This window comes from Homo sapiens, chromosome 10, assembly GCF_000001405.40.
Source record: "Homo sapiens chromosome 10, GRCh38.p14 Primary Assembly".
NCBI lineage: Eukaryota > Metazoa > Chordata > Mammalia > Primates > Hominidae > Homo > Homo sapiens.
Window position 1 is genome coordinate 121,540,223 of NC_000010.11, and position 13,569 is coordinate 121,553,791.

At 42.5% G+C, this 13,569-nt stretch overlaps 1 protein-coding gene across 22 annotated transcripts in view, besides 1 other annotated feature; it reads right to left on the reverse strand.

Moving 5' to 3' along the window:
• Positions 1-13,569, reverse strand: part of FGFR2 (fibroblast growth factor receptor 2) — a 120,129-nt gene that overhangs the window by 61,893 nt on the left and 44,667 nt on the right. For all 22 annotated transcript variants that reach the window (NR_073009.2, XM_024447891.2, XM_024447890.2 and 19 more), the window contains one exon: positions 11,068-11,237. Coding sequence is in view for 21 of the 22 variants with exons in the window: in XM_024447891.2 (XP_024303659.1) it covers positions 11,068-11,237 (170 nt within the window). In the remaining variant the exon portion in view is untranslated. The remainder of the gene's footprint in view (positions 1-11,067; positions 11,238-13,569) is intronic.
• Positions 3,073-3,572: an enhancer, noted in NCBI's record as "H3K4me1 hESC enhancer chr10:123302809-123303308 (GRCh37/hg19 assembly coordinates)". NCBI's record gives its function as "activates a minimal SCP1, AML or CMV promoter by ChIP-STARR-seq in naive H9 embryonic stem cells {active_cell/tissue: H9 hESC(naive)}" and the evidence as "EXISTENCE:reporter gene assay evidence [ECO:0000049][PMID:30033119]".

The window sequence follows — 13,569 nt, forward strand, 5'->3', positions numbered from 1 at the left end:
AGCTGGTGATGGGAAACTGATCCTCACTGTCGCAGGTAAAATGTCTGGCAGAAAAATGAATCTACGGGCATCTGATCGACAGTGGAGAGTCTTTACTGTATGACAAAGACTCGCTTTCTGCTCTTGGTTGAGCCGTAGACTTGTAACAGGACCCAGACAACATGCTAGCGCGTCTCCCCTTAAGAGAGATAAGCACCTTCCATGCAGAATGTGTCTTCTGAAGGAGGAGGAGATATGGATGCTAAATCTTCCAGCGCAATGAGAATTCCCTACCTAAATCCTGGATCCCTGGGTGCTACAACGGCATCGTTATGCTAAGAGCATGGGACACATAGGTATAAGCTCCTTGATTTTACTTGAGGTCCACAGACCCAAAAGGAGACCCTCCCTTCACCTCAAGCTCTCAAGGGTAACAGAAATGATTCTCTCTTTGCCTACGGGGAACCAGTCATGTGGCAGGTAACTTAGGGATGTAGCCACGGGTCCCCACGTCACCAAGCCATGTAATCCAGCATTTATCCCTGCTGTAAATATTCAGTTCTTTGAGCCCCCGCTCAAATGTCATGCCCATAAGCCCTTAATCACGGCTAGTGCCTGTCTCTGGACCCCATTCAAACTGTCAATGTCTTTCTTGTGCCTGGATCCAGATTTGGCACATGGAGTATTCCAAATGGAGCTGAACCTGAACTGCACAGGGAGGGGACATCGCCTGACTCGGCTGACACATTAAATCTTGGCATATGCAGCTTGGCTCACTGCTCCCTTTTTTTAACCCCAGGGGATATGGTCAGCTCAAGTCTCTCACTGGGGCCATGGCATTCCATACAAGATCCCTCTTCAAGAGCACGTGCTCTCTGAATATTTACTTCCTGGAGATGCACTACAAATATTAATAAGTTAACGTTTATAAAAATGTTTTTACAATGAGAAGCACAATTACCAAACAGGGTGTTTCTGTCCATCCAGAAATCTTGGTACTAGATCAATATTGCCCCATGCAGTGCTGTTAATATTTATTTTCTTACACCATTGCTCCAGTATTTGATTTATTGACCCAAATTTTATGAGCTGTAGCATTTTCCAAATGGATGCTCTTAAATCCACCAACAGTGGGACTGCTGGACACTTTTGTAGGGGATATCCTACCATTGATTAGTGGTTGCTTAATAGCAAGCTAAGAAACTACAATAGTTAACTTTATAAAGATGGCAAACAAAAGCACAAAGTTTGGGGGTTTTTTTTCATTACTCTATTTCCATATGGAGATTCAGAATAAACCTAAAGAAACCACTCTTCCGACGTAATATATACAACGCGTGTTTCTAAATTCCTCAGATTTTCAGTGCTACAATTCTTTTGCCAGTTAGGCCAAATGCACATACACCGTCTTTGCTTTCAGAGAAGAGGGAATGTAAATACCCAATAAACATATGAAAAGATGCTTAACCTCATTAACGATCCGGGAAATGCAAATTAAAACAATAATGAGACACTGTTATTCACCAGCTGATTAACAAAAATTAGAAGGATCAATGTTATTCAGTACTTGGTGAATGTGTAGGGAAATAAAAGATTCCAATTGAGAATGGGAACATAAATTGAGAAAAACCTTTGTGTAAAATAACTTGCTGGTACCTATTAAAATTAGCAGCACACATTTTTTTTGATCTAGTTAATTCTACTTCTAGAAAGCTAGCCCACAGAAAATAGCACAATTACTTCAAGGCACATGAACAAAACTGCTGCTTCAAGCACTGCTTGTAAGAGCAAAAAACTGTCAAGGAGAGAGACATTAAGAATGCATAGTTCATCCTGTATGAACTGATGGAAAGTTCATTCAAACAGCGTAGTCTATAGTCATAAAAAGAATGAAGTATTATGTTCAGACCTGGTAAGGTATCATTAAACAGTTATTGATAAATGAAAAACAGTTAATTCATGATTCCAATTTATTTAAAAAAAAGAAAAAAGCAGACACATTTACCACCCTAAAGATGCATATAAAACTGAAAGTATAAGCCTGACTATAAACACAGCTAAAATCAGAAAGAAAATATACCAAATTGTTAGCAATGTACTTTATATAATTAAGCAGTGGGATTATGGGTATTGCCTACTTTTTTCTTATTTCTACCTTTCAAACAAACAGAAATCTCAACACACACAACAAAAAAGTATAATAAAACAGATCCTTAGATAATCATTCAATAGTAGCTACCCCCTGCAGAACCAATGGATCTGGCAAAACAAACACAAAAGCCAGTGAGAGAAGAAATTCTGCACCAACCAACACAAGCACGACTCTTTTTCTTTCCTGCTCATGGCCAAATCTTTGTGGAATTCATCATTATTTTTCATCTGCCAAGTAACAGAACAGGAGAGCATGGACTTCAAAACTATGTTCACTAAAGACTTTTTTAAAATAACATTTCAATATTGAAACAAAGCAGACTGAAGCAAAATGGCCTAAACTCCCAAGTATAATACAAGAAGCGGATTCCATGAACATTCCACACCCTATCCACACAAAGACACAAGGTGGCCCAGACAGGTTTTTCGGAATTCTTCTGTTACCTTCATTCCCCCAAAATGCCTATTAAATCCCAGGCTACCCTCAGGTGACAACTGGGAATGTAGATTTAGTTTGTTGACACCAAAACACCGCAGTGAAAGGTGAAGGGTGAAAGGTTAAAGACCCAGGCTGTCACCTGGATATTTACCTTCCACATTGCAAAAAAATCCAGACATTTCCAAATACTCAGGTGTTCGATAACAAGCAGAATAAACATGCAGAAGGTGATACAAAGTTTTATTCTGTGCCAGGTAGAACGCTGTGTCCATGTGATATCAGAAAGATATTCCCAAGCCTTTCTCCCGCCAGTATCAGCACCCAATTTTCCCAGGAAGACAGCAATCTCTTGTAATCCTGGCCTTCACAGAGGCACCCACCCCATGAACAGATCAGTTCATTCAACAGGTGAGTTGCCATTAAAATGCAAAAAATCTGCCAGGTGCAGTGGCTCACGCCTGTAATCCCAGCACTTTGGGAGGCCGAGGCGGGCAGATCATTTGAGGACAGGAGTTCGAGGCCAGCCTGGCCAACATGGTGAAACTCTGTCTCTACTAAAAATATAAAAATTAGTCAGGCATGGTAGCAGGTGCCTGTAATCCCAGCTACTCAGGAGGCTGAGGCAAGAGAATCGCTTGAACCCGGGAGACAGAGACTGCAGTGAGCTGAGATCATGCCACTGTACTCCAGCCTGGGTGACAGAGTGAGACTCTGTCTCAAAACAAAACAAAAAACAAAAAATGCATAAAATCTTATTCTCCCATCCCAGTCCCCCACTTTCAGCAGGTGCCTGGGGGACTTGAAGCCATCCTTTCTGAAAGCATTTGTGCCAACTAACCTTGCATGTCAAGGACAGAGGTACCTGCTGTTGCTCACCACCATGCAGATGTGGAGGCAAACACCTGTTAATGCTTAAACTCCAACATTGATACAAGAAGTTTGCTTTTCAGGAGGTGTCCAGAGAACAGGGCCGGGCAATCTGATCCTCGGGACCAGTGGCAGAAACTCTTCCCTCTGCTCGGTAAACAACCACTGGATCTCTCCAGAGGAGGTGGGAAGTGAATTACAACAAGCCATGTTTTCTTAGAGGCCCGTTGCTTGTCGGTGCTCACAAAGGTGGCTGCGGCAGGACATCCACCGCCTGTTGAACTTAGCTCTTTAAAAATGTCACGATCTTCCCCATTTTTGCTTTTGCAAAACAGACAAATGCCATATGGTCCTGCAATTCCACTCCTAGGTATATACCAGAGAAACTTATAGCAAGGACTGGGACAGATACTTGTACACCAATTGCTACAATGGCTATTCACAATAGCCAAAAGGTAGAAGCAACCCAAGTGATCATCATCAGATGAATGGATAAACAAAATGTGGGGCCGGGCACAGTGGCTCATGCCTGTAATCCCAGCACTTTGGGAGGCTGAGGTGGGTGGATGGCAAGTTCAGGAGATCGAGACCAGCCTGACCAACATGGTGAAACCCTGTCTCTACTAAAAATACAAAAATTAGCCGGGCATGGTGGTGAGCACCTGTAATCCCATACTCAGGAGGCTGAGGCAGGAAAATCGCTCGAACCTGGGAGGCGGAGGTTGCAGTGAGCCAAGGTTGCACCACTGCACTCCAGCCTGGGCAACAGAGTGAAACTCCGTCTTAAAAAAAAAAAAAAAAAAAAGTGGTATATCCATACAATGGAATATAATTCAGCCATAAAAAGGAATAAAGTTTTGATTCATGCTACAATATGGATGGACTTTTGTTAAGTGAAATAAGCCAGACACAAAAGGAAAAATATCCTGATTTCACTTATATAAGGTACACAGAATAGGCAAATTCATAGACACAAAAAGTAGGTTAGAGGTTACCAGGTGCAGTGGGGGAGGGGAAATGAGTACTTACTACTTAATGGGTACAAAGTTTCTGTTTGGAGAGATGAAAAAGTTTTGAAAATAGTGGTGATGGTTGCACAACACCATGAATGTAATTAATGCCTACTAAACTTGATAATGACTTAAATGGTAGATTTTATGTTATGCATATATTACCACAATAAATGTAAAAACCTCATAACCAGCTGGGCACAGTGTCTCAAGCCTGTAATTCCAATACTTTGGGAGGTTGAGGTGGGAGGATCACTTGAGCTTACGTGTTCGAAGCCAGTCTGGGCAACCAAGTGAGACCCCGTCTCTACAAAAAATTTAAAAATTAGCCAAATGTGGTGCCATGCACCTGTGGTCCTAGCTACACAGGAGGCTGAGGCAGGAGGATCACTTGAACCCAGGAGGTCAAGACTGCACTGAGCCATGTTCGTACCACTGCACTCCAGCCTGCGCAATATAGAGGGACTCTGTCTCAAAAACAAACAAATAAATAACCCACAGAGGTCTTGGAAGTTGAAAGAACAGCATCATATCCCCAACTTTGCTCTCAACTGTATACCATGGGCTAGATCTTTGCATGCTTTTGGGGAGCCATTACTTTCATTATGTTTCTCATTCAACAGCAACAGTGTTTTTACAAAACACGGAACTACATTTGAAGCAAGCAGTTTAGCAAGAGCATAAATTCTGGTGCAAAACCACGTAGGTCCAAATGGCAGCTGTGCCACCTATGAGGTAGGGGTAGGGCAAGCCCTCAAATGTAAAAGGGCAAAATAACAGTGTCTGCCTCTTTGGGCTGTGGAAGGACTGAGCAACTTGCTCCATGGGAGGCACCTGGTAAGTCACGACGCAGGGGAGCAGTCCATAAACGTTGGCTAATACAAACATATACCTGTGTCCTCATCAAAGACTGCTTGATGTGGGATTAAAGCTGAAATGTCTTCACTGAAAAAAAATCTCCATAAAGTATAAACATGCTGATAAGTACATTAGTCATGATTTCTCCCCCTAAACATACTTGTGGATTAAGCATAACATTTCATCAAAAAGTCTTTAAAATGACATCTAAGTAACTAACCTAGAAAATGTAAATCTAATTAACCTATGCTTCAAAACAACCAGTTTAGTAGTGATTATAACAAAAGTTTTAAAAATCATCTTTTCTTAGATCTGAAATATACTTGGTTCATGCTCAATAATGCTTTACTCTCTGCTGAGGGGCTCCAGGGGAACCTGAACCCCTGTAATACCCAACGCTGAGGGCTTCTGTGCCAATTTCACAGTCACGTTGAATGAGCCCTCTGTCCTGCGATCTCTCTTGGTCTATGCAGGCACTTCGAAGTGGCATAAAAGATGGTTTTTAAGAACCCCCTATGCCTAAATAATTACCTACGAAGGAGGTGAGAATTGAGGTGGTCTATTAATTATCTCAGCCAGCTTCTTGCTTTTCTGCATTAAATTGCAATAACTGTCCTGAGCCCTGTGAAATATCTAGCCATGAAGGTAACCTCTTTATTAAAAAAAAAAAAAAAAAATCTGTGCTGTTGTTTAAGAAGAGAAATGGCTGATGCTACACGATGGTGATACTATTAAATTATGGTTCTCAGAGCCTGAAGGGATCAGGATTATTCAGCCAATCTTCCCATTTTAAGGCAAGGGATTCTGGGGCACAGAGAGCTGAAAAAACTTGCCCATGGTCAAGACTGACGCAAAAGCCCAGGAATAAGTATGATTAGGGAGATAGAGTTATGATTCAAGTCCTTTACTATTATATCAATCACATATTAATAACATCCAGCAAGACTTTGCTCATGCACTTTAAAAATAATAATTTGATTCTTAATCACCTAAGGATGGCTCAGCATGGGTTCTTTGATAAACAAGACTGAACTGCCGAATTCCAAATAGTTCTATTGGTCATTTGAATGAAAATGAGCTTTCTGTCACATTTCATAATTCTCTTTGACTTTGTTTTGCTTTTTTTGTCTTCCCTCCTCCCTTTATAGGCCGCACATGCATGCCATTTCAAAACAAGCTGTAATGCAGGGGATGGCTGCCGAGGTGCCCAATCCATAAACGGGTAGAAAGAATGAGATGGACAGGCCACCAAAGCACAATCATAGTTTATGGAATGAACAGAATTATAAAGGAAAAAGAAAAATTGCAGAAATAACACACATTTGTTTGAAGAAGTTTTTCAGGTATTTGCTTTCTGGAAAAATGTATCTTGGAAAACTTGACATTTTGCTTCTTCATTAAATAAACTGGCAAATGGGACGGGTGCAGTAGCTCATGCCTGTAATCCCAGCACTCGCAGAGGCCAAGGAGGGTGGACCACTTGAGGTCAGGAGTTCGAGACCAGCATGACCAACATGGTGAAACCCCATCTCCACTAAAAATACAAAGTTAGCTGGGTGTGGTGGCGGGCACCTGTAATCCCAGCTACTTGTGAGGCTGAGACAGGAAAATCGCTTGAACCCGGGAGGCAGAGGTTACAGTGTGCTGAGATCATGCCATTGCACTCCAGCCTGGGCAACAAGAGCAAAACTCAGTCTCAAAAAATAAAAATAAAATAAAGCAAAGTGGCAAATGGACAGGAGTCAGGAATGAATCAGTTAGATGTCAGGCCCTCTGAGTTTCAATTAGGTCTCTTTGCTTTTGAGGAAGTGCCGAGGAATGAAAATAACAATATAGTTCCCTGAAGTCAAATGTGCAAAGGTACCTTTTTTTTCTTTTTTTTTTTTTTGACAGAGTCTTCCTCTATCATCCAGGCTGGACTGCAGAGGCATAATCACAGCTCCCTGCAGCCCCAAACTCCTGGGCTCAAGCGATCCTCCCACCTCAGCTGCTTGAGTAGCTGGGACTACAGGTGAGCACTACTACGCCCAGCTAATGGTTTAAATTTTTTGCAGAAATGGGGGTCTCACTATGTTGCCTAAGTTGGTCTTGTGCTCCTGGCCTCATATGATCCTCCTGCCTCAGCCTCCCAAAGCAGTGGGATTACAGTGCCACTGTGCCCAACCCAGAGGCACATTTCTTTAAGTCTACGTAGGTAACGAAGAAAATATCAGAGAGAAAACCCAACACCAGGGACCATTCTCCCCAAAGTCTGCCTTGGTCAGGCCCCAACAAGGACTCTCTGAGGCAAACGCAGGCCATAGCCAGCCAAGGAGCTCCCCATGGGGGAGGCCCACAGGTGGGAATGAGCCTCTTTGAGCTCCAGTGACTCCAGGACCTGGGGTTGGCTTAACACATCATTAGCGAAGATGATGCCTTAGGTAACTGAAGGAACCTTCCCAGGAGATGAGAAATGTGTCTTTCCTTTTCAAGTCCCGGAAGCCCTTGGGACTCAGTGGAATTTCTAAGAGTTTCTGGCATCTCCAAAATGAACGTTCAATGCCACTGCTGTTGTGAAAAGCCCTTGATCAACCTAGGCTGACCACCTCTGCAACTAGCGGGCCAACCTCCCAGGCCGCCCCACCCTACAGCCATAGCCTTTCTCCACCAGAGAACCAGAAAGGAGAGGACCACGCCAGCACACTGCATCCAAATGTGTGGCCCTCTGCCGCTTTTGGCCTTTTTTTTTTTTTTTTTTTTTTTTTTTTTTTTTTGGTAAAGCAAAATATATTTTAGGTTTTTGTCCCACACACTGAAATTCCATTTCCTTTTCCCTCCAGAAACGGCTCAGCGTGATACAACAAAATCACTTTGGTCATCTGCACTCCACAGGGGCAGGCTAAAGGCTTTCTGCTGGGAGTCCTCATTTTGCTTTTAGAACATAGGTGCTCTTCATCTAGCGAAATGTTGGAATCAATAATTAACACTGAACTGCACCTGTTAAAAATCAGGCAGCATTTTCTCATTAGGCCCTCTTAGTCTCTTAGCATATTTGTAATCACTAATTCAGATTTGCAAAAAGCTCCTTCCCCATAATAATGATGTCGGTTCCATTTATTTTGAGCCCAGGGGTCTCTGGAGCCTCATCAGCTCCTCTTTGTACTTATTTACAAGGCTGTCTTAATTGACAAAATTAGTTAACCACCAGGATTTTGACCACCATTCTCACACTCAGATTGTATTTAAATAAATCATTGGAACTGCATCAATTATGTGAGTTTCAGAAAGCATTTGGTGGTTAAAAACAATCCCAGGGGCCGTGATTTTAGTGGCTTAACTCTTCCTTTCTAACCAGCATCCCCCCATGAAATCCTTAACTTTTTTTTTTCAAAAAGATTTCTTTTAAAAGGGCCAACCTTTGAATCTCATCGTATCTGGTCTAAGGACTGAACTAAGAACAGAAGGACAAATCACCCCCTGCCTCCTGCTTCCACCACCAAGTAGGAGTTGTGGAAAACAACCAAAGTATTTCTACTTTCAAGCTTCAACAGTACCCACCTGCTAGCAGATCTGCCTCATAACTGTTTCACATGTTCACTGCCCACCATGCGTTCTTAGAAACTTACTCATAGGCTGTCCCCATTTTCCTCTGAATTTTGGCCTCTAGATGTTAATTTCTAAGTGTTAAAACAAAAAGGCAAAAACTTTTGCAGAAGAAAATAATCCTTTAAAGATGAATAACTGTCTAAGAAATTTCAGAAAAGGGTTGCAGGGCATTTTTAGGTGGAAAGGAGGCTCATTTACCTACAGCAATGATGGAGCTAAAGTGATGCTGGTGTGTTAAAGACACGTGAGACACAGTCCTGGACACCCCACTGCTGCTACTGAGGAATCCTCCCTACCTGGCTGTAAAGGACCTGAGGTCTGAGCTAAAGAGCGTCTTCTATTCCTCCCACCATGCAGTTTTCCCAGATGGGTTCCGGTGATCCCCTTGTCTCCTGGCATTCAGGTCCTTGGGCAACCTCCTCCCTAGTGTCTTGCTTAATAATGGAAAAAAGCAAAAGTGGTGGCTGTCCCTTCCAACACTAGGTTACAAAAGGCTCTGACTTCTGCGATCCTGCTCTCTCTCTCTCTGGCTCCTCCTTTGCTCAACCTGATGACAGCAGCTGCCCTATGAAGAGGCCCGTGTGGCATGGAACAGTGGGCAGCCCCCAGCCAACAGTCAGTGAGGAACTGAGGCCCTCTGCAAGGAAGTGAATCCTAACAGCAACCACATGAGCAGTTCCTTCCCCAATTAACCCTTCCAATGAGACCTCAGCCTCAACCCTTCCTTGCTTACAGTCCTGTGAGACAGCTGGAGATGGAAGACCCAGCTAAGCCACACCTTCATTCCTGATCCAGGCAACAATGAGGTAATAAATGTTGCTTAAAGCTACCATACCTTGGGGCAATTTATTATGCAGCAACAGGTAACTAATATGCCCACTTATGTTCCAAATGCATCAGAGAATTTCATCATAAGGTTTCCTTCAGTCCTTTTCATATGCTCAATTATTACAGTTCTCTCCTTCCATACTAAATAATTTGGAAATTCCATCTCTCTCTTTCTGAGACATCTTTCCTTCCAACTCAGACCTGAATCCTTTCCTGACCTCCTTTCTCCTTATTCTTCCAAACGCCAATCCAATATCACCTTTCCATGTACATCCATGGGATGCAACATGCTCCTGCAACTTCAACCAAACCTGTGTCCCTCCCATTGCCAGAGTTCTCCTCTGCCTCTCCTGCTGGACTGGACTAAGAGCCCCTTGGAGCTGGGGCCATGCCTCACCCTCTCATCTCCCCAGAGCCCAGGAGTGTGCCTGGCACACAGGGTGCTCAATCAATGTCTGCTAAGTGGATGAACAAAGGCTAGAGGAGCATGCGCGGGCATCTGCAGGGAGACAGCTGCCAATTTCAAACTCCCTAGGGAGTGATGAGACTAAAATTTCATGGCATTGTGTGACGTGCTCTCAAGAATCCTTCAAGGAGGACAGCAGATTGCCACTGTCATCTCCACGCACTCTCCCTTAATGCATCATATTTCATACTCCAGTCTCTAATCCAAGTCCCCTCACTATTCATGCAATCCTGCTCTGACAGGGAAACTATACTGACGCTTCTCAAACTCCACACCCGTTTTAGTTTTATACACTATAAAGCATATAGAAAACAGACTCTCAACTTTCGACCCTTCTGTTATTAAACTCTCCTCATATGAAGAACAACACAAACGGGAATTGTACTTTAAAATTACACGCAAGTCCGGGGTAATATTTTTTTTTAATATCAAACCCTGACATGGGCAATTGTGACAATTATTGATTCTTGTTAAAGTATTCCTTCTAATTCCTGCTAACTTTTGAGCACTTCAAAAAATAAACAAAAATGTAGGGCTGGGCATCGTGGCTCACACCTGTAATCCCAACACTTTGGGAGGCCGAGGCAGGCGGATCACGAGGTCAGGAGATCAAGACCATCCTGGACAACACGGTGAAACCCCGTCTCTGCTACAGATACAAAAAATTAGCGAGGCATGGTGGCACACACCTGTAGTCCCAGCTACTCGGGAGGCTGAGGCAGGAGAATCGCTTGAACCTGGGAGATGGAGGTTGCAGTGAACCGAGATCGCACCACGGCACTCCAGCCTGGGCGACAGAGCGAGACTCCATCGCAAAAAAAAAATGTAAATAAATAAATAAACAAAAATGTAAGAAATGTGATGTTCTGAAAGCTTAATTCTACCTTGTAGCCTCCAATGCGATGCTCCTGCTTAAACTCCTTCCCGTTTTTCAGCCACCGCATGGTTGGCATTGGGTTCCCCCCGGCTGGGCAGCGAAACTTGACAGTGTTGGCCGCAGGCACAGCATGGAGCCGCTTTTCCATCTTTTCTGTGTTGGTCCAGTATGGTGCTCCTGTTTTGGAAAACAGTATTAGAATGTATACTGATGGACAGCTTCCCCTCCATGAGTAAACTCCAAACAGGTAAGATCATTTCGCTTTGCATGTAAATGCTAGGCTATTTTTTAAATCTTTGGGTAATATTTACATTTGGAAAATATTTTCAGAAGTCTAATCCAGCTGGCTGAGCAGAAGGTCCCAGAGAGGGATGGTTCATGTCTACCAACAGGAAGAAAAAAAAAAAAGTGTTTGAGGCCCCTTCTCTCTCTTGTTCTTGATGCCAGAAAATAATTTCATGCCAAATCATGTTTTAAAATGCTATTTTATAAACATATGAACAACATATACAACTGCGACAGCTCAGTCCTCCAAAAATAGATCATTTTGGATTGCCACACCTATTAAATGATCACATATACACACTAGTAAAAGCAAGTTGTTCTCAAAAGCCCTATCAACTTATCCATTGGAGCCTTACTTTAAGGGCAATCAATAGTATAAATTGTCATTCTAATATAATAAAATAACCCAGAGAGTCATTCGTACATTTCTCAGAACTTATATACAAACAAACAAACAAAAAAAAAAACTGTATCACTAAATACATACTAACTTTTTTAATTAAAAAAAAAATTTCTTTCCAATGGTGGTTATGAATGCCATAACCCTACCACCCCACCTAATGATAACTTAAGAGGAGGCTACCAATTAAATGATATGTTAAAGTTATGCCCTCCAGATGTCCCCGAAAGTCATAAATACAAGTGATTTTTTAAAGTCAAGAAAAAAGTTTTAAATCACAAAGTAAAGTATATTTTTTCTAAATAAAAGCCACAACATCAAGCCAGAATACCACTGTAAATTCTTCATGTCTGCTAATAATGGCGAATGACTACTACCGACTGAAAGCTTCTACTTTGCCAAGCACTGCTCAAAGAGTTTTTACATGTCAACACATTAATCTTCACAATGCTTCAACAAGAAAGGCACTATCATAATCTTGGCTTCCAAGTGGGGAAACTGAGGCACAGAGCAGTTAAGTAACCTGCCAAAAGCCACAAAGCTTGGAAGAGGTGCAGCCAAGATTTGAACCACATCAGTCTGATGCCAGAGCCCACTATCTTCAACCCTACTCTCCACTGCTAAGAAGATGCAGCTTCTCCACGAGGTTGGAATCCGTACCTTCCACCAATCTGATGTTTAAGGCTGAAGTCCGGGAAAGCCAGCCTGGGTCAAGGCACACGTCCTCCTTTTTTCCTGTCCAGAACCTCTACTGTACAGCAATTTAACTATTCACATATATGTTTCTGTCTTAGCAAAGTAGTAACCAAAATCCCTGTATTCCTCTGAAACAGCCACCAACAGGGACTTGAACATTGTAGAAGGCTAATTCATAACTATGCTTATTTCTGATGAAGGCTAGACTGAACAACAGCACACACAGTTCACAAACCCAAGGCAAAATGGCCCTAGGCAGGGGCTTTGTCTCTGATGCATATTTAGAAGTCTCCTCTATTCTACGGGTGTAGAGCACGTCCCTGGGGGATAAGGATCCCCTTCACTTAGCAGCCAGACTCAGGGTACAATCAGGAATTGAAATCGCTGCATCCAAACACCTACCCCAATTAGCCTTCACGCTTGCTCTTGAAACCTGTTGTCAAAGGTAGAGCTGAGATTTCTTTACAAGGCCATGCTGTATCTTTATCCCTGTGCTTATCTAAGTGTCAAAGTGATGGGATTTAGGTGCACCCATATGATGCTGAAACAGTGGGAAGAGGGGCAAAACTATCGAAGCCAGGAGAGAAGAAGAGGAAGGAGGAGAAAGAAGGAACAGGGGCTGAATTCCTTCCTTTGAATCCAGTTGCATTTGCAACCTGGGTAGACATTTGGCTCTGGGTGTTGAATGCCCATAAACGCACCTATTCTTTTGAGGGTTCACCAGGGAGTACTTGATTCCCATTCATCCCAAGACTCTCAGGGCCTGGCATATACTGAAACAATTTCAATAAACTTTCATTTTAAAAGCTTCTACTTAGAAAAATCCATCCACAGCCACAGCCACTAAAAAGAAACCATTGAGAGCACAAAACAAATAATGAGCTTTGTCACTACACAAAGACGTTTACAAATCTAACCTAAATGAAAAGCATACCTCATGCTGTCAGGTGTCTGCACTCATGTCATTTGTTTAAGTAAACACAATAGCCTATTCATATGAATTAGCTAAATATTAATGCAGTAACTCTTTCAGATAACATCAATTACTGCTGAGCTGATCCTGTGGAATGTCTTTTCTTTTTTACATAAAAGAAATCAACAGATATGTGCTTACATACCATTAGGCAT